The sequence below is a fragment of the Homo sapiens genome, chromosome 17 (assembly GCF_000001405.40).
Source record: "Homo sapiens chromosome 17, GRCh38.p14 Primary Assembly".
Classification (NCBI taxonomy): Eukaryota; Metazoa; Chordata; class Mammalia; order Primates; family Hominidae; genus Homo; species Homo sapiens.
Window position 1 is genome coordinate 69,414,212 of NC_000017.11, and position 21,250 is coordinate 69,435,461.

The following is a 21,250-nucleotide window of genomic DNA, read 5'->3' on the forward strand; positions in this document are numbered from 1 at the left end:
CGCCACTGCACTCCAGCCTGGGCGACAGAGCGAGACTCCCTCTCGGGAAAAAAACAACAACAACAACAACAAAAAAACCCCCAAACAAACAAAAAACGGAGGTGTGAGGGTAAAACGTCTACAGGCAAGAACAGCACAACAGGTGCTGAGCTGCAAAATCAACACACTAAACTCCCAAACAGACCTTCTCGACAAGCCAAAAGCTCTTTAGCTAACCTAATATTCTTTAGCTGTTGTTTCAGAGGCTTTTCGAGAACAAAACTGCCGCCCCGTCTTGGCCTTGCCGCTTTTCACCCATCACTCTACTGAGTGTGTGTCTGACTTGTTTATCTGGACGCAATCTTTGTCGCACCCAGTTATCTCGCTCAGCGACCGGGGCGACCACGTTTCCTTAAATCAGAGCCCCGTGGACTCCGCCGGAGAACTACATTACCCAGCGGCCTTCGCGCCCTTCGCAGGAAGGACGTCTGCGCACTAAGATACTCAGTTCCAAGTTTGGAGCTTTTAGCTGCCAGCCCTGGCCCATCATGTAGCTGCAGCACAGCCTTCCCTAACGTTGCAACTGGGGGAAAAATCACTTTCCAGTCTGTTTTGCAAGGTGTGCATTTCCATCTTGATTCCCTGAAAGTCCATCTGCTGCATCGGTCAAGAGAAACTCCACTTGCATGAAGATTGCACGCCTGCAGCTTGCATCTTTGTTGCAAAACTAGCTACAGAAGAGAAGCAAGGCAAAGTCTTTTGTGCTCCCCTCCCCCATCAAAGGAAAGGGGAAAATGTCTCAGTCGAAAGGTAAGAGGCTGTTTGCATTAGTTGCAAAAATGCAAAGGGTTGTGCATGCATTTATGAATGCATGGATGCAATTTTCGCCTGGCGAGTGCATTTTTAAGTTTGAGGTTTTCCACAGCTCAGTTGCATTTCCTGTTTAGTATGTGTCTTTTTTTGCAGACACAGAGAGTTCCTGTAAGGCAGGGCTTGCAGTTCAGCTGTGCATTGACGTTATTTGCATTCTTCTGCTAGGATTACTGAGCTCTTTTTGCCTTTTGCACAGTCAGGAGAGACAGAGCAGGTTGGTAGCGTCTAAATGTGCAAGGCTTTATATAATTGTAAAATTCTTTACTATGCACAGATATTGTAAGTAATTTTGTATGCAACAGGAATAGAAACTTTTAAAAACTCTATAGGTGAAGATGAAAGGTAAAACTTGAGTTAAACTACTAGGAAATTAATGTAATCTTATATTCTTTGGGGGAAATAGACCGTTGCGGTGCCAGTATTTAGCTAAATTTCCATTGATATCGCCTTGAACATTAGGTAACTTTTGATTTTTAAAGGAAGTAAAGGTGAAGGGTGAATAACAGCATATCACAAAAAAGCAGACGAGTCTTGCTCTTCTGAGATTTTGCACTTTACACCAATTGCTTATTGGCTCGCAAAATTTAGAAGCAGCAGTGAAGACCTAATGTTTTATGTCTGCCCATTTGGGGGATGCTTTGCATCTTGGGGGAAAATATTGGGGGTAAAACTGTACTTTTAAGCATTACAGTAGTGTGAAGGGACTGCACTGTTTCATTGACAAGCATAATGAAATATTTTAAGTGTGTAACTGCGTGTATTTAGTCAGCTGTAATAGGTTGGAAGTTCACGTTATGGTTGTTTTCTTTATGTTCTTTTATTTTCTTTTCTTAATTTTTGTTTTTAAACACAGTTGTATTTTGCAGGCTTAATGTCACCCTGGGAAGGGGATTTAAAAAATTCCTGATATGACATCAAAGAGCAGACTAGGTGCTGTCAGGTGCCCCTGGGACCCCAAGTCACTTGTTTCAGAACAATTGTTTCTTTACCATAGAGAAAGCATATGCCATATGAGAAGTATGGGATGATGAAGAGAGGTGTTAGATACTATTGAATTAGGCTACCCGGGGCACTCTTTGAGTAAGACATGGTGAAATTAAAGGGTCTAACAAGCTTTTTGCTACTTTTTTGGGAGGGAGTGTGGGGAGTTGTTGCACCGCTTTTTAATTCTACCTGATGGGAGTCATATATCTCAGCAGCCCAAGAAGGAAGTAGTAATCTCAAGCATTCAAAGTAGCACTCTGCTTTTCTTTGAGTATTAGGGGAGAATGGAAATCTGAAAAGTTAAGAGTGCTGAAGAACCTAGGAATTGACATATCAGGTGGAGATGTTCCTCAAGTGGGGAAAACCTAAAAATCTCCTTATTGAGTAGAGAAATAATAGTTCAGAAGAGGCAGTCCATGCTTTGATGTATTAAAGAGATGGCATTTAGTTACTTTGTATTTGGTAAACATTCGCTCATTCATTCAATTCAGTTTAATATATGTGTAATATATTGTGATATGCATGTATATACATATGTATGTGTGTATATATATGCATGTATATGTATGTATTGTGTGTGTATGTGTGCACATGATTTAGGGACACACAAAAATATTTAAAATGAAGTTTTTCCTTCGGGTTGGTGAAAACAAGAATGTAAGGAAATCATTATAATACAAGATAATAGGACAGGTATTGAAGAGAAATGGTGCTATTGGAGTTTAAAAATGGAAGTGATTTATCTATTTGGGGGATAGTCAGGAAGGTTTATGAAGAGGGTGGTGTTTACTGTGATCTTATCTTTGGACTTTAGGGTCTAAACTAAATCAGGCTCCTTTTTGCATATTTTTGGGCTCACTATGAACGTGGCTCCCTCTTAGTAGAGCCAGTTTTTGAGTTGAGAAGCCAAAGGAGATATTAGCACTGCACTCTTCCCTATGGATGTGTTTACAATGGATCAGGTACTGGTGGTCCTTCAAATCAATTCCCATTTACCCAGATGAGTTTTCTTAATTGGATTCTGCTTGGAAAGTACATCTGGAATGAACATGGGGTTCTTGTCCGAAAGGAAAATTATTGGTAGAAAGAAGTGGGTGATCATTTTAGAAATGGCAAAAGAGCCAGCCGCCTTGGCCTGGACTTTAAATGTGGAATTGGCCTTATTCAGCTACGCTATTCTCAAATGGCCAAAATACTTTTTGCAGTACCAAACTTCTTTTTTAATATTCTAACCCAAGAAATGGGAGGAAAAGTGAAAAGTGGATACAATCTCATAGTATTGAAGAATTTAACAATATGTTCAATTCAAGGACCTTTACGAACTTTCTAGATCACTATAATTCGGTTTAACAGACCTCTAATTTAAGGCACAGCAGAGGCAAAGGAATTACAGACTCTCTGGAAGCTGGAAGGACTGGGTTACTGCTCTACAGCCTTACCAACAGTGAGATTCCGAGAAAGAATTTCTTAAAAAGAAATTTTGTTTTCCACAGTTGTAACTTTAGGTGGTATGCTTTTCAGCTTGTTTATATTAGCTGTCTGGGGTTGAGTTGACATTTTTCAAATATTAAAGCAGTAGAATGCCTTTTGAGGAAATCTGAAATGTAAGTTAACAGGAAGGGCACCCAGAAAGTGCAGGAATTCCTGCACACTACAGGAAGACAAGCTACAGGAAAAATGTGTCATCTACACTACCCGGGAGAGAAAAACTATTGTTATCAGCCATAATGATCTCCGGAGGGAGGGAGAGAAAGAGGGAGGTAGGGAGATCTGGCATCCCCCAGTTCACCTGAAAATACACAAAAAGTTTGACCCTGTTAAAATACACTTTTCTCACTTCTCCTCCTATTCACCTTTAAAAAATATTAGTTTATTTTAGTTTTAGAGAGCAATAAGTAAATCATGTAAGAAATGCCTATGAGGCACAATTCAGAAGCATATAGCAGAGTGGTAGGAAAGGTCTTAACTCTACTGGGGTTCTTTGCTTCTGTAATTCATTCCACCCTTGGGAAATGAAATGTGTAAATTTCTTGTTCTCTATAAATTCCTTTGTTAGGTTGTACCAGACGGACTTGTCATGCTTAGCCTGTAATCTGAGCCAGTATGTTTTATAACCCCGTACATCTCAGGACACAAAATCAGAATAGGTAGCTTGGGTTTCCTGAGCTTGCTTTGTATTAGCATTGCATTCAGTTCTTTAGAGCATGCGGCCTGTTAACTGTAGGGGGCTTCAGGGGTCTCTGGTTGGTAAATTTAATGTTGGAGAAAAGAGTTGAGATTCTCTTGTCTTTGTTTTTCAGATTAGTGTTACTTTAATGACTCCCCAGTATTTTAAAATCTGAAAGATCTACAAGGAATATTTTTAAAACTTAAAAGAAATTTCATAAATAACCCTTGTTCATTATAGAAACATTTCATAGAAAAGGAAAAATAAGAATGACTAGTTACTGCAGTCTACACTTTGGCATTTATTCTCTTGGACTTTTTTTTTCTATCTATGTGTATGAAGCATCCAAAATGTGTGTAAAACTAAGTCTATTTCGTTCCCTCTTGTTTCACTTACCAATATATGGCAAAATATTCCCAAGTTTATATATTTCTACATTCATAGTATCCTCTTCCATTGTATTTATTTAAATAGAATCTTAATGTTTATTAACTTTCACTATTGTGAATATTTCCGTGATGATCATACCAGTTCCTACATTATCATGCATACTATGCCCTTAGATTAAATTCCAGGGAGCAAAACCACAGGCTTTGAATGTCCAGTTCTTCTTCACTCTCCATTCTCTTTTCTTCCTTCTGAAAATAGCTTTTTATTATTGCAAAAAAAAAATGACATATGCTAATCAAAAAATTCAAACCAAAGATAAATTCACAATAAGAATATAAAACTCACTCAAAGTCATACCACCCAGAGCTAATTACTGTTAGTTTTTTGGGTACTATCTCCATATTTGTATGTACATGTTATTTTACACACTATATATTGTATTTTGTAACTTGCTTTTTTATACTCTACCATATATCTTGGATATCTTTCTGTAGTAGTACACATAAGGTTACCTATTTTTTAACAACCGTGAATTTTAATTTGTAAGAATGTAGCCATTTACTTAATGTCATATTGAGTTTTCAAACAGTTTCCATTTTTTTGCACAGCTATACACAGTACTGTAAGGAATACCTGGAACATACATCTTTATACATTTGCCCAATTATTTCTTTAGGATGATTCCTAGAGGTGGAAGTCCTGGGTCAAAGGGCATGTATAGATATATTGCTAAATTGCCCTTCATAGAGGTAACACTAATTCTCATTTCTACCAATAATATTTAGACGTGCCCATTCTGTCCTTTCAAGCATAATGGTACATATTGCCAAGTAAATTGCTCTTCAGGAAGATGGTACCTTTCTTCATCCTGGGTATAACAATTTGAAAAAATCTTTGGCAGTTTGATGAAAGCTATTAATATTCTACTCTAATATTATTAGTGATAAGGCAGTTGCATTTTTCAGTTTTTTTGACATTTGTGTTTCATGTGCCCAAATTTCTTTTTTTCTCATGAAATATATCCTTAAAATTTTAATTTGGGTGGCCAGGCATGGTGGCTCATGCCTGTAACCCCACTTTGGGAGGCCGAGGCAAGTGGATCACCTGAGGTCAGGAGTTCAAGACCAGCCTGGCCAACATAGTGAAACCCTGCCTCCACTAAAAATACAAAAATTAGTCAGGCGTGGTGGTGCACACCTGTAATCCCAGCTTCTTGGGAGAATCGCTTGAACCTGGGAGGTGGAGGTTGCAATGAGCAGAGATTGTGCCACTGCACTGTAGCCTGGGTGACAGAGCCAGACTTCATCTCAAAAAAAAAAAAAAATTAATTAATTTGGGGATCAAATTATTTTCAAAGTTAGCCAGAAAATAGCAATATTGTAGAGGTTAGGTAATCCTGGATTGATAGTTGGGTTCTGTGTATCTAAACAATTTAATTCCTTGATGAGTTCTAATTTTAATTTTAACCTAATGTCTTAAGCTGCTATCACATATTTTATAAACTCATTTTATTTATATAGTCTATAGCTATCCAGACCTATATGAAAATAATAAGAAAAATGTAGTGATCTGATTAAATTCCAGTCTGAGAAATAGCTTACTTTTGGGCATTCCTGCATTTTCAGTTATCTTTTCAGGCAAAATTAGTTTTTCTTTAGGTTTATAAATAATTCTTACATAGCACCTGGTTGTGTTATATGCATTGTTGCAGAGAAATTTAATCTAATTTTTTTTAGCTTCCTGTGCAATGCCTAATCACAAAAGGTGGTTGACTTAAATTTCCTACATTTGTTAAAATAATTAAGTCTAGAATCTTTAAGATTCTTGTTAAGAATCAATTTTAATGACCTCACAAGTCATATAAGTCAATCAGATTTAACATATCCTTAACATAGCCTTAATAAATGCGCCTATTTATGCATCCTGATATTAAGTGATAGAATTTAGAGCTATGAAAGTTTTATAGTCCAATCACTTCATTTTACACATAAGCTAACTGAGGCCTTGGAAGTGAGTGACTTTCCTGAAGACAGTAGAGTGGAGTCACAGGGAGAAGTCAGATCTACAGATTCTCTGTCCGTAAGTTCTTTTCACTAAACCACACGTGAACACTAATAATCCACATTTATAAAATTTTTTTTTCTTCAGAATCTTTAGTATATTTCACATTTTTAGCTTTGCTTGTTTTTGTTGGGAGCAGTCTGGCAAGGGGGAGCTGATGGTATAATGAGCAGGGGTTATTTTTCTGTGTCCAAGAAATGGTGACATGTGAATCATGGTGGTGGGGTTTCTTACCAGTTCTCTGCCAAAGGATATTTTGCAAATGCTCTCATTTTGATTCCCAGTGCCTACATAGTACAGCTGCAAGTTTTAACCACTGTAATGGTTGTTTGCCTTTTATGGACTGTCTTGTTTGAAAGCCCTTGCTGGGTAACTAAACCTTTTCTTATATATCTTTACATCTCTGACTCTTATAGCATTGTCCTTATAAATAATAGGTGCTCAAAAAATGTCTGACAATGAAAGTATTTTTCATCAGTAGGGATAAGCTCTCATTTGCTCCTAAGTTTTATGAAAGATTTCGGGTAATTAAATTACAATGCAATTTTCTTCTTGTGCTTCTTCTTTGTTTGCACTGATATTCCCATTATGTATTTGCTTAATTATTTGGAAGTTGCAAGAACAGCATGAAAAGCAACTTATAATGGCTGGCGAAGTGTCATTTCTCCTACCTAAGCCTTCTGAACAGATTTAAAGGTTGCACAATTCTCTGCTAACTTTCTTTTTAAAAAATATGAGAAGATGAATTGTCCGAAGAATCCCATCCAATAGAATTGAAGTGATTTCTGCATCCTGTGCTGGTTTTAGGAGCTGGTTTTTAAGTCTATGAGGCTTCTGAAGGATTGTCAGAGACAATCCTTTTTTTGTTGTTGTTTTTTGTTTTTTTTTTTTGAGACAGAGTCTCGCTCTGTCACCCAGGCTGGAGTGCAGTGGTGCGATCTCAGCTTACTGCAACCTCCGCCTCCTGGGTTCACGCCATTCTCCTGCCTCAGCCTCCGGAGTAGCTGGGATTACAGGTGCCTGCCGCCACCATGCCCGGCTAATTTTTTTTGTATTTTTAGTAGAGATGGGATTTCACCGTGTTAGCCAGGATGGTCTCGATCTCCTGACCTCGTGATCCACCCGCCTCGGCCTCCCAAAGTGCTGGGATTACAGGTGTGAGCCACCACGCCCGGCCCAGAGACAGTGTTTTTAACAGCTGGCTGCCCTCTAACAAAACAGGGAACTTCGCAAGGATCACCTCCCAGTGAAATGATTCTTCACTTCCTCCTTGACCACCTCCACTGCCTCTGCCCAGCCCCTTCCTCCCTGGCTTGTACCCCACTCTGTCTCCTTTGATGGTCTTCCTGAGTTGGCCCATGCGGTTCAGTATGTAGTCCATAATCTCCCTCTTTCTGAGTTGAGGAGGATATTCAGGTTATAATCCCCATACAATGAAGTCTATCAGAAATCATCGTAATTTTTTTTTTTTTTTTTTTTTTTTTGAGATGGGGTCTTGCTCTGTCACCCAGACTGGAGTGCAGTGGTGCAACCTCAGCTCACTGAAACCTCTGATTCCCAGTTTCAAGCAATTCTCCTGCCTCAGCCTCCCGAGTAGCTGGGATTACAGGTGCCTGCCACCATACCAGGCTAATTTTTGTATTTTTAGTAGAGACAGGGATTCATCATGTTGGCCAGGCTGGTCTCAAACTCCTGACCTCAGGTGATCCACCCACCTCGGCCTCCCGAAGCACTGGGATTACAGGTATGAGCCACCACGCCTGGCCAAATCATCGTAATTTAGTCAACTCCAGTCTGAGTTGAAGCATTAAATAAGCATTTGCAGCATCCCTGTCATCTGTTTTACTTTCTGGTCTGTACATCCCTTCTTAAGTCAGATTCTTGAGATTAGTCTTCTTTGGACAGACCATTAGCCCCAGGTGGAGCTGCTGATCACAACCCCTCCCTGTACCACTCCCAAGGCTGTTGTCATCATCACTTACCCTAAGCCAGTTACTTTTCATATAGTATGCTTTAGGATGTCCCATAAACACTATGGACAAAGTTGGTGTTATTATCCTTAATTTACGAGTGAGGAAATCAATTGTTGTTAACCAATTTGCCCATGGCTGGATAGCGAGTCAGTGGCAGAGGCAGGATGGATGTCTGACTGGTGGGCCTGTGCAGCAAACTGCAGCTCCTGGGCCAAATCTAGCTTCAGCTGTTGTTTTTGTTTGTTTGTTTGTTTGTTTGTTTGAGATGGAGTTGCGCTCTTGTTGCCCAACTGGGAGTGCAATGGCGCGATCTTGGCTCACTGCAATCGCCACCTCCTGGGTTCAAGCGATCCTCCTGCCTCAGCCTCCCGAGTAGCTGGGATTACAGGTGTGCACCACCACGCCCAGCTAATTTTTTGTATTTTTAGTAGAGACGGGGTTTCACCATGTTGGCCAGGATGATCTCGATCTCTTGACCTTGTGATCCGTCCTCCTCGGCCTCCCAAAGTGCTGGGATTACAGGCGTGAGCCATCGTGCCCGGCCAAGCCTCAGCTGTTTTTAAGTATAGCCCGTGAGCGAAGATGGTTTTCCCATTTTTAAATGATTGAAAAAAAATCAAAATCAATGTTTCATGACACATGAAAATGATACGAAATTCAAATTCAGCATCGACAAACAAAGTTTTATTGGAACACAGCTATGGTCATTCATTTATATGTTTTCCATGGCTGCTCTTTGCTCGACAGCTGTCGAGTTGAGTAGTTGCGCCAGAGCCCCTATGTCCCACAAAGCCAAAAATATTTGCTATCTGGTCCCTTGCAGAAAATGTTTGTTGACCCTTTCCTTTATGACTTTATTCCATCGAATACTGGGGTCTCTTCATGACAGAGCTCCCAGAAACATTCCTCTCTGGCTTTAATTGGAAGTTGTTAACCTGGATAACTACTGCTCTGCTGCTCAGCCAGAGACCTCTTGGGCCCAGCCCACAGGAAACGTCTGAGTGGTGTCTCTCCTAGTTATAAGAATTGTAGGTCATTGCTCATTTCCTCTGAACTAAGTTACCCGTCTCCTTTTGCCCGTCCTGGGGTCTTTTCCCCTTAGTTGTGTTCTTCCTGTTTGCTTTATATTTCTTTCCTTTTTTTCTTCCCTTCGATGAGAAGCTGCTTATTAATTCTTCCCTGAGACTCTTCATCCTCCCCTTATTGATCCCACATTTCTTTAGAAAGTATTAGGTTGGTGCAAAAGTAATATTGTTTTTTATCATCACTTTTCATGGCAAAAACCACAATTACTTTTGCACCGACGTAAGAAATCAAAAATAACTCTCCTGCTACCACCATTGCCTGGCTTGTTGGTTATCATCATGACCCAGCTCAGAGGTTCCATCATTTCTTTTGTGTCAACGTGAAAGCCTCCCTGCATGGGACCAGAGAGGTTTCCAGTTATCATCTCCTGCAAAGTTTAGAGCTGTTTTCTTACATTAACCCCCTAACCCCGGGTGGGCAATTTTCTTTTGAGGACGAATATTCTTTGTGCTCACAGAGTCGCTTACATCGTGGATATTGGGTATATTTAGGAGAGAAGGTTTTGATAGAGGGTCTGAAAATGAAGGGAGGTGAAAGCTACATGTAGACAGAGGAGCTTTGGTAGAATGAGCCCAGATTTGTTCACCACATCCAGAATGATGTAAATTTAAGTCACGTACAAAGAAGTGCTAATTTCTACCATCCCAGATGGTATCACTGCTGTGATTCTTTCTGTGCTCCAGATACTGTGCTTAGTGATGAATGTGAATTCTATCATTTACTCTCACTATGGATCAGTGAGGTGATATCCCATTTTGTAGATCAGCAAACTGAGGCCGGAGAGGTTAAGAACTTGCCTCAGTTACCAAACCGATAGTGGCAGAGCAGAGGTTTTAGCCAAGGTCTGTCTGACCTCAGAATCTGAGCTCCTGGCGACTCCACTTGAGACGTCACTCCAAAATAAAGGTATGAAATCCATTACACCAAAGACATGGTCGAAGAATGAAAAACGAGTGTATTCTGTAGGAATTTGGATAGATTTGGGCATACCAGGGCCAAGTATGGTAATTAAGAAGGGCTGACCTGTGTCTAGCTATTTATAGGTTCTTTTTGACATGTCCCTTTATATGTCTTTTGATCACAGAGTACAGAGTCTGACTCATTTTGACTCTTAAGGTTGAGTTCCAAATAGAAACTGCCCATTGGTTGAAGGAGGCTGATTACAATTGGCCCACTGATAGTTACTGGTCTGGATATACAGGAATGTTATGTTAAAATGTAGGTAACAAATATTGCTTCCATTTGCTGTTCTGTAGGTTGTATCACACAGAAACTAAGCCGACTCAAACCTTGTGTGTTTCCTTACACATCTAAGTTAAATTGTATTAAAACTAACAAGAACGTGGCCAGTGTGGCAGCATACCTAAGTGTGGGGATTTTGCAGCCCCTTTTTGGCTTAGTGACTTTTTTTCTTCCTGGTTGTTTCTATGTAAATGTAACAATTTCCTTGAAATGATGAATGAACCCACATCTCCAGTGTTTTCCTCTTGTACTGGACAGAGTGGAGGAAACTGGAATTGCCTGTTTTTGTGGCAGAGGAGGTAGATGGGGATGGAAATGAATTTCCTTTTAAAGCAATGAATTCTTTTTTTTTTTGTTTTTTTCTGAGATGGCGTATAGCTCTGTCACCCAGGCTGGAGTACAGTGGTGCTATCTCAGCTCACTGCAACCTCCGCCTCCCGGGTTCAAGTGATTCTCCTGCCTCAGCCTCCCAAGTAGCTGGGATTACAGGCGCCCACCACCACACCCAGCTACTTTTTGTATTTTTAGTAGAGATGGGGCTTCACTGTGTTGGCCAGGCTGGTGTTGAACTCCTGACCTCATGATTCGCCCGCCTCGGCCTCCCAAAGTTCTGGGCTTACAAGCATGAGCCACCGCACCCGGCCTAAACCAATGAATTCTTTCTCGGCTTTCTCTCCAGCCAAAGCAGAACAGCTATACCTATGCCTCAGTTGTTTTTCATGATCCCATGTCGAAGCTGCGGAAATAGATGGTCTGGTTGTTGAGTGACAAGTTATTTATTCCCTTCCTTTATTCTCCCTCCTCCAATTTCAAATGGGATGAGAGGAGATAGCTGTAAGCGTAGGGCTAGAATCTGAAGAATCAGTGGGAACAGAATAGTTCAGAGTATGGAAATTAGTTTGAAGTAAATGTAGAGATAACCTTTTTGTGATATTTGTAAACCTTGCGAGGCAGTCTTCACAGTTTATTTACCCCTTCCTGTACCCGAAACACCTTTGCCATTTGAAAAAAAAAAATCACAAACTCTGCATATACCTAAAAAGAGGACTTGGATAAGGAGTTTGTTTAGATCAATTCAACAAAGGTTTTTGTTTGTTTGTTTGCTTTTTTCATTCAGGGTCTTCTATGTGGCCCAGTCTGGCCTCAACTCTTGGGCTCAAACATCCTCCTGTGTAGCTGGGATTACAGCCAGTGCCACTGTTCCCGGCTCAAATAATACATTTTTGATCTATTGTTATGTTTAAGACATCATGCTGGGTAGAAATAGGCAGAAATGCATTTGACTTTACTCTTCCAGTGATTAGCCATGTGGCCTTGGAAAATCTACTTAACCTCTAGCTTCGGTTTCTTCACCTTCTAAATAAAAAGACTGACACTCATTCACGAGGTCTTTATGAAGATTAAGCAAGGTCATATATGTAACATGCTTTGGCCAGTGCTTGGCATTCATTTATTCAACAAATATTTATGAGTGCACTTTATATTTGAGGTACTTTGCTATAGTACTCTCTCTATAAACATACATTTGCTTCACTCTTCCTTTCCTTCCAGCCCTTAAGGAGGTTATTGTCTAGGAGGAGGTAAGAAAAGCATAAAAATGTGTAGAATCTAAACTGGAATCCTAGATTAGCTTAAAAGAGGTACTATTGAGTGGGAAAGTCCTATGAATAAGAGAGAGATCAGGAAAGTGTTGACAGGTGTGGAGGTATCAATGTGATTTTTAGAATCAATGAGGAAATTAGATCCAACATAGGTACGGGAAGGACTCTTGACTTCTAGTATCCAGTGGCACAATAGAACAATAAAATAGAGCAATTCTTTAGAAGGATTTAAAAAAAAAAAAAGAAAAGAAAATGCCCCAGCAAAGTATCTGAAGCTTAAGAGACCTTACTTGTGTTTTCTAAGAACTTCCTTTTTCTTACCAAGATTAATACTGTAGCTATTGCTTGTGATTGCAATAGGTGAATAAATGGAATATATCATATCTCATACTTTTAGGTGTTTTTTGGATTGTGGAAACTCCAGGAAATCTAGAGGTTAATAGTTAAACAAGTATATCATATCAACCAGGTTTATAGACACACTGTAATTATATAAGCAAGCTGTTGGTTCAATAATCAACGTCTAGCTGGGTCAGGGAATATTTTCCAGAGCTTGGCCACGGCTGTAATTTTCATTTTTTATAACCTGCTAACATGCCAACCTGCCTTTTCCATTTCTTTTTGTTTTTCTCGAATCATCTGAAATCAGTGTAAGAGAAGGAAACCTGTTCAATGTACTTTTGAATTCTCATTTTATTTACCTCAAGTAAAATAGTGTTCTGGAAAGTTCTTCGTATTACCAAATTGACTTTCTCAAGCATGATACTGGATATTAGCAAGGGAGTTCATAATTTATTTTCTATTTTTAATTTCAGAAAAATACAGTTCTAAGAGATAAAAAGATAAACATATAAAAATAAAAAGGAAGATAAAAATACAGGATAAAAGATAAAATATTTAATACAATTAATAGATTAAATACATTTTTTCTTTTATTATTTTGGTTTCAAAAACAGAGTGACGTATAGCTCTGGGGCTCACAGTGGGCTGTTTCTCTGTGAACCTAGCATTTAATCACCTTCTTTCCCTCAATAACTCCATTTAAACAGAGTCAGTACAGTGTGAAGGAGGTGAATTGAGTCACCCCTCCTCAGATTCATGTAAGCCACAGGGCAGTTTTGGCCTCACTTTGCTGTGTGGTTAAAGATAACATATGACCCAGCCAGGTAGAAGACCTGTCAGCCATATCATCTCATTCAAGTGGCCTGCAAAGTCTTCTTGCTTGGGACTTTGTTCCTGAATGAGCCTCTATTTTTGTAAGGAAAGTAGAGGAAAACAATGCAGATTTAATTCTGAAATTGGTTTAAGAATGGGATTGAGAAATTTTGATATATTCAGTCTGGAATAATTGTTTTCCATCCCGAGTTTCATTCTTTCTTTTTGATGTAACCCTATCTAAGGACAGGATAGCTAGTCAGTGTTGAGCAAGACATGGCAGGTAGAGGACTAGCTGTCTCTGGATTGCATTTAACAAGCATTATAGAACAACCAAATAAATTATCTGTACCTCACTCTGTGCTAGACTGATACAAAAATGAACAGAATCCTCTTACTACCCTCAAGAAGCTCATATTCTAGTGGGATGTCTATGTTTGCTAGAGCTACTGTAACAAAGTACCACAAATTGGGTGGCTTAAACCACGGAAATTAATTGTCTCGCAGTTCTGGAGGCCAGAGGTCCAAGATCAAGTTGGCGGCAGGGCTGGCTCCTTCTGAAGGCCATAAGGAAAAATCTGTTTTGTGCTTCTTCCCTGGCTTCTGGTGTTTGCTGGCAATCTCTGCATTTCTTCCCCTGTATACTCATAGCCCAGACTTTGCCTTCATGTTCACATGGCATTCTGCCTGTCTGTGTCTGTATCCAAATTTCCCCTTTTTATAAGGAAGCCAGTCATATTAAAGTTAGGGCCCGCCCTACTCCAGTATGACATCATCTGTCATCAAGTAAGATCCCATTCAGAGATGCTGAGGGTTAGCTGAGGGTTAGGACTTCAGTATATTAATTTTAGGAGGACATAGTTCAACCCATAACATGGCAGGCAAACATGGTCAGCAAACTAATGATACTCTGTGTGAAATGCACGTAAGTTCTGGTATAAGATACGAGTAGGATACCAAAGAAGGTGGGTGCATAACTCAGCCTGGGAAGATCAGGAGTCTGTTGGTAGAGGAAGGACCTTAAGTTGGTATAGCAGAACTTGCAGTGTGGTTCTCAGGAGAATAAGGAAGTAAAACAAGAGACTTCCCATCTGGTCCTTGAACGGACAGACTACCTGCCCTTTCTTCTGTTTTTGTTTTTGTTTTTTTTTTTTTTAATTGTTAATGACAGACTGGATGGTTCTAAACTGGGGTGTGTTAAATTAGAGAACACACACACACACACACACACACACACGTTGTTGTATTGATTCCCAAAACTGAATTTGTGTTTAGTGGTAATGAGACCTACACAACACTCCCTGTGGTTGTCACAGGCAGCTTTGATGTACAGATACAGGGACAGGACTTGGTGGTTGGGAGAAAGGATCATCCTTCCCATTGTAACAAATGGTCCTAGTCCTACTGGGACAAAGTTTCAGAGGGAGAGAGTGGGCTGGGCTGGTGGCTCATGCCTGTAAACCCCAGTCAGGCTGGAGGCTGAGACAGAAGGATCACTTGAGGCTAGGAGTTTTGAGACCAGCCTGGGCAACATAGTGAGACTCTGTCTCTACAAAAAGTGAAAAAAAAAAAAAAAAATTAGCCGGGCATGGTGGTGCATGCCTATAGCCCTAGATGCTTGGGAGGCTAAGGTGGGAGGATCACTTGGGCCCAGGAGTTCAAGTTTGCAGTGATCATTCCACTGCACTCCAGCCTGGGCAACAGGGTAAGACCTTGCCTCTAAAAGGAGAGTGAGAGAGAGAGAGTAAGAACCAAGCCATGGCAAAGCTGATTTTTAGATAAGGCCTGTAAGTCTTAAAAAAAAAAGTATTCATGTGTTACCAAGCTCTTGCAATATTGATTATTAACAAAGGTCTTTTCAACTATGTGTATATTTCCTAGAGCTAATATGCAGCTTTATTTTCTTTATGTGATCTGGGTACCTTTAGTATAAAATTATGAGTAAAATATCAGAAGCTGTTTCAGTAAGAAAGGGCACTAAGGAAAGAAATTGTTAGGCATGTTGTGTGAGGTGGTTGGGGGTCAGGTCAGTGGAAAGGAACTTTTCCAGCTGAGAGCTGATGTCCATCATCCATCAGATTATCCTGCTGGGGTGTTGATGGCAGCAGGCTTCAAGTGTGGGGGCCAGGTGGGCAACCCAGAGAAAGTCACAGGAAGGTGAAGCTGGGGTGTGGGGCCTGGGCATCCCTTGGAGCTAGGTAGAGGGATAGTCGTGGGACAGGTGATCCGAATAACAAAAGAACAGGTGAGCAGCAGAGGCTCAGCAGAAAGTCAAGAATTAGATGAGTCAATGTGGAAGGGGAAGAAAGAAATAATAAAATAGGCCGGGCACAGTGGCTCATGCCTGTAATCCCAGCACTTTGGGAGGCTGAGGTGGGTGAGTCACTTGAGGTCAGGAGTTCGAGACCAGCCTGTCCACCATGGTGGAACCCCGTCTCTACTACAAACATATTAAAAAAGTAAATTAGCCAGGCGTGGTGGCACATGCCTGTAATCTCAGCTACTCGGGAGGCTGAGGCATGAGAATCGCTTGAACCTGGGAGGTGGAGGTTGCAGTGAGCCAAGATCGTGCCACTGCACTCCAGCCTGGGTGAAAGAGCAAGACTCTGTCAAAAAGAGAAAAAAAAAGAAAGAATAAAATAGAGAAGCCAATTGGAAACCAGGAATCAGAGATTGAAGAGATTCAAGAAACTATGCTGCAGAATCCAGGCAATCATGTGAGCTTTTATTCCATATTAGTTCTGCCTGAAAGAAATGATTATACATCTCTGATTCTTTCAGCTTCAGCAGCAATCTTTGTTCATCTAGCTATTATGTGAAGATGCACTCATAAGAAGCCTGAGTAGGTAGGGTGTAGAAGGACACACAGAAAAAGAGCAACAGAAACTAGTTTGGGGCTTGTTTCAAACAAGCCCGGACTTATCTTCCATGCTGAGTACCTGTACACAGCTCTCTAAGTGGGACCAATGGAGTCAGAGGAAAACAGGAAGCAGTGAATCAGCTGGACTGTCAAGCCACTTCGTTTAAGACAGAAACCAGCTACTGGTTTTCTCTGTCAGGTTAGAGGGAGCACGCAGTCTAATGTGAACAAGCAACCCTGAGCTCTGGACTTCTACATTCAAGGCAAAGCTGGATAGAAGAAACGCAAGTGCTAGAGGAAGGGTTATACTGCTACTCTATTCTAACAATGTATCAGGGGGATGTAGAGCGACTCACTCAGTCTTTGGGAAAGCATTTGGCCCGTATCAAGAACCTGGACAATTTTCGTACCCTTTGATCCAGCATTTTTATTTATGAGAATCTAGTCTATAAAAGTGATTATTGAGTGCTTACTGTGTGCGAGTCTTTGTGATAAGCACTTTGCTAATTAGGTCTAATCCTTCTCAAAACCTGGGCAGTAGGCAATATTTATCTTCTTTTTACAAAGGAGGAAGTTGCAACTTTGGTGCATAACTTGTCTCAGATTATACCGTTAATGGGTGCAGAGCTGGGATTTGAATCTAGTTTATTTAAACACTAAAGTTCATGCTTCTTTTCTATACCACTGCTGTGTCCAAACAGTGAAAAATAGAAACACCCTTATTGTATAATATACAATTATACTATATTGTATATTATGCATATAATTATGTCTTATAATTATATATAATAATTATAATAGTAAGGGGATAGCTTAAGTTATCAAATACTCACTTGATGTAATAGGTTGTGAGGAGATGGCAGTACCATTAATGGAAAGATGCCTGTGACCCAGGAGGAGTGGATATAAATATATCTGGACTATGATTACAAATAAGTGCATGTGTTTGTGTATTTATGTGTATTTTGTTTTACCTTAAGTAAGAGTCTGCGTTAAGGAGAATTTCATGGAGTCCAGTTGCAGGAGGTATAGCTAGGCCTGGTAGGAGCTAAGTAAGGCATTCTCTGACTCCCTCCCTCTTTCTTTATCTGGTCTATCCCCTCCCTTTGCAGGGTCCCTCATTCGGCTTTTCTCTGAGGGTCTTCTCTGCTTTCTGCTTTTCTTGTGGACCAGGCTTTTTGCTCACTCATCAATCAACATGCACATAGTTTAAAAGACTCACCTTCTGTGACTTTCTTGCATCTATATGATGTGTAGTTGTTCCAGTACCCACCATATTTTGGCTAAACTTTCTGGTCTGAGATGACATTCTCTGTCTTTCAGAAAAAAAGAGAAAAATGGGATAATGTGATGAGGAGTGGCTGCCGGATTGGCTGGATCTGAGTCAGGTGTTCACCCCTGTGCATATGAGGCATTAACCCCATGGCTCACTACCCACTTGGAGGTGCTGTAGATCCAGCTTATCTGGGTAGGGGTCACAGAAGGAACAGTCAAATGGCTGATGTCATACGCAGACTGAAAGGAAATGCATTAAGCAAATGAAAGGAACGAATATGGCTGGTTAGACTGATATTTAAATGAAGCTTTGTAGTGTTGTGACATGTGGCATTTTACATCATTCTTTTAATACAAACTCTGCATAAGGTTACATACTATTGATCATGAAGAACTTGATTTTTACTCCAGATATATCATTTAACCCAGCATTCCCATTACTGGGTATATACCCAAAGGAATATAAATCACTCTATTATGAAGATACATGCACAAGTGTGTTTATTGCAGCACTATTCACAATAGCAAAGACTTGGAACCAACCCAAATGCCCATCAATGATAGACTGGATAAAGAAAATGTGGCACATATACACCATGGAATAACTATGCAGCCATAAAAAGGAATGAGATCATGTCCTTTGCAGGGACATGAATGAAGCCGGAAACCATCATCCTCAGCAAACTAACACAGAAACAGAAAACCAAACACCACATGTTCTCACTTATAAGTGGGAGCTGAACAATGAGAACGCATGGACACAGGGAGAGGAAAAACACACATCGGGGCCTATCGGGAGGGGTGGGGGAGGGAGAGCATCAGGACAAATAGCTAATGCATGTGGGGCTTAATACCTAGGTGATGGGTTGATGGGTGCAGCAAACCACCATTGCACACGTTTACCTATGTAACAAACCTGCACGTTCTGCACATGTATCCTGGAACCTAAAATTAAAAAAAAAAAAAAAAAGGATCTTGGTTATTACAGATGCATCTCCTTGGATTTGCTTATATTCTTTGTGAGGGGAAGAGACTCAGACCATATACACTATGATTTGTTCTGTTGCTGATTACTTTTATAACAAGACCACTGGAACAGTAAAAAGGGCTACAATACCCTCTGGTGAACAAACTGAGGCAATGCTCTTGAACCAAGAGAACCAGAAAAGGCACATTGATGCTCTCTAATGGTTAAGTGACAAGTACAAGCTTAATTGTCCAATGATGTGACAGTTGCCCAATGATATGTGGTACAAAGAGTCAGGGCAAGAGATATCAGGCAAAATCTAAAGACAAGACTTCAGAATCATGGAATATTACACATAGCAGGGACTTTGGAAATCAGCTAGCCCAACCACCTCATTTTATAGATGCAGCAATTATGACCGAGAGAGATTATGTAACTGGAAAGGCCAAGGTAGCGGTAAGCCAAGTGTGGAACACAGATCTTGTAAAACTCATGCCTGGGCTCTTGTTAGGATCTCAGTGCATCTTGAAGCTAAGTCAGACTTTGACTCTCTGGGGAGCCCTTATAGTCTTCCTATAAAGACAGAAACTAACTGCTGAGGCTTAAAGATATAAAACAAACAAGAACACCAGGCATGGTGGAAATCAGGACCTCTGTTTATTCAGTCGGTCATCTGCTGATTGAGTGGGTCTGTTCAATCGTGCATGTAGCCATTCCTCTATTTATTAATTCCTTGGACATGTATTAGCTGCTTCACTGTGTGGTTCACTGCTAGGCATGGAGAGTGTAAAGAGAGATGATTCCTACTTTCTAGAAACTCACATTCTAATGGGGGACAGATGTCTCTGCCAATGTTTGTGATGTAATGATACCTCAAAGGGAAAGTGATTATTAACTGCTTGGATCTTGAAAGGTGAATGGGAGAATCAAGGATTGGGAGTGGACAGTCAAAGCAGATACAGCTTTGGTCTGTGGGGCAAGTGAAATGACACGAGTATCTAGAAAATTCTAAAGTTCTGTATGGTTGGGATGTAGGGGTCACCTAGCAGACCCGTGAGAGATGAGATAGGAGAAATAGACAGGAGCCAGGGTACAGAAGGCCTTGCAGTTGAGGAGGCATTGATTGCTTGACTTCAATATACTATGAAGTGCTGCCGAGAGAGGGTTTCTTCCAGCAGCTAGATTAGCATCATTTTGTATTTTAGACTCAACTATGCATCTATGTCCCTTAGCAACAGGTTTTTGTTAATATTCTGAGCTCAGAATGGAATGGATAGCCAAATTGGCTTTGAAGAGCTTTCCTCTGGCAAATCTACCCCTAAAAGATACCAACCTTTACAGAGAAGAGAGTTTGCATGGGTTGATTAGTACTGAATGTAGTTTTCTTTAACTACCATTTGATGACTCAACTCATAATGACATTTTGTTGGCATTTCTCCAACTTGCACTTGCCTCTGTTCAACAGGGCATGCCTTGAGGTCTGATTATACGGTTTTCATTCATACGACATGTCTCCCCCTCTGCTTTTTGTAACTTAACATTCCTGCCTGCCAAGAACGAGGGAGCTTGCTGGCTCTCCCCATTGGCCTCTTCCATGAGGTCATGTGAGTGCTGCTCACTCACATTTGAGTGCCTGCCACTCTGGAGGTTTTACAGAACAGAAAACTCAGCCTCTGTGTTCTAGAGCTGGAGCTTCTGGGCCTTTGGAAGTCAGTCTTAATCTCTGAAACAGGAGAGTGCTCCAGGGTTCCAGAGTCTTACAAAAGTGCAGGAAAATGCACCAAGGTTATGATAAAATGCAAAGCCACACCTAACATGGGCTCTTCCAAATTTCATAAGCAGTTCACATTATTTTTTATTTTTCCACTTTCTTTTTTTTAATCTTGAAATTTCCAAAGTCTGTATCCACAGCCTTGCATAGTTCTTAGCAACAAACTTAGCAACAAATCAGAGAAAAAAATTAGTTATCTATATTTTTAACAAGATCTGTGATCTCCTCCACATCCTCTAACCGCCTTGGGCCTCAGTTTTTTTGTCTGTAACTGGACGGTCACTACATACTATTATTTAAAGAATTACCTAATTTGATTAAGAAAATCCATTAAGCCCAAAAAATGTGAATACAGAGATAGGGTACAAAAGCAAAAGTGTAAAATTAAGACAGGTGAATGCTAGCAGATGAAATAACTCAAACATTTTACCTTTCCTGCACTCCAGTTGGGCTCAAGGATATCATCCATGCTTTTGTTTTTGGTTGAAGCTTGAAAAAATAAATGACTTAAACCATATTCTAATAGTAACCTGAATTTATATATAAAACTGACCCATGTTTGTTTTCCAAAATGCATTTTTCCATTTTCACTCTGCTAGGAATAAAAGATAAACAATGGAGATAGAGGAAGAATGGCCTTTGAATAAGAATTGTAAATGCGGCCAGGCGCCGTGGCTCAGCCTGTAATCCCAGCACTTTGGGAGTCTGAGGCAGGCGGATCATGAGGTCAGGATTTCGAGACCAACCTGGCCAATATGGTGAAACCCCGTCTCTACTAAAAATACAAAAATTAGCCAGGTGTGGTGGCACATGCCTGTAGTCCCAGCTACTCGAGAGGCTGAGGCGGGAGAATTGCTTGAACCCGG

General features: G+C 40.4%; 1 protein-coding gene across 2 annotated transcripts in view, besides 3 other annotated features; it reads left to right on the top strand.

Annotated features, from left to right (window-relative positions):
- MAP2K6 (mitogen-activated protein kinase kinase 6) overlaps positions 486–21,250 on the top strand; it is a 139,169-nt gene continuing 118,404 nt past the window's right edge. The window contains exon 1 of one of the 2 annotated variants that reach the window (NM_002758.4): positions 486–789. In NM_002758.4, the coding sequence (NP_002749.2) occupies positions 774–789 (16 nt within the window). In that variant the 5' untranslated portion in view covers positions 486–773. Of the gene's footprint in view, positions 790–1,037; positions 1,067–21,250 lie in introns of those variants that run through there. The other variant, XM_047436411.1, reaches the window with a different exon arrangement.
- Positions 11,797–12,091: a silencer, noted in NCBI's record as "tiled region #9140; K562 Repressive non-DNase unmatched - State 24:Quies". NCBI's record gives its function as "represses a minimal TATA promoter and a strong SV40 promoter by Sharpr-MPRA in K562 cells {active_cell/tissue: K562}" and the evidence as "EXISTENCE:reporter gene assay evidence [ECO:0000049][PMID:27701403]".
- Positions 15,392–16,208: an enhancer, noted in NCBI's record as "OCT4-NANOG-H3K27ac-H3K4me1 hESC enhancer chr17:67425744-67426560 (GRCh37/hg19 assembly coordinates)". NCBI's record gives its function as "activates a minimal SCP1, AML or CMV promoter by ChIP-STARR-seq in naive H9 embryonic stem cells {active_cell/tissue: H9 hESC(naive)}" and the evidence as "EXISTENCE:reporter gene assay evidence [ECO:0000049][PMID:30033119]".
- Positions 16,299–16,478: an enhancer, noted in NCBI's record as "active region_12654". NCBI's record gives its function as "activates an Ori minimal core promoter by ATAC-STARR-seq in GM12878 lymphoblastoid cells {active_cell/tissue: GM12878}" and the evidence as "EXISTENCE:reporter gene assay evidence [ECO:0000049][PMID:35858748]".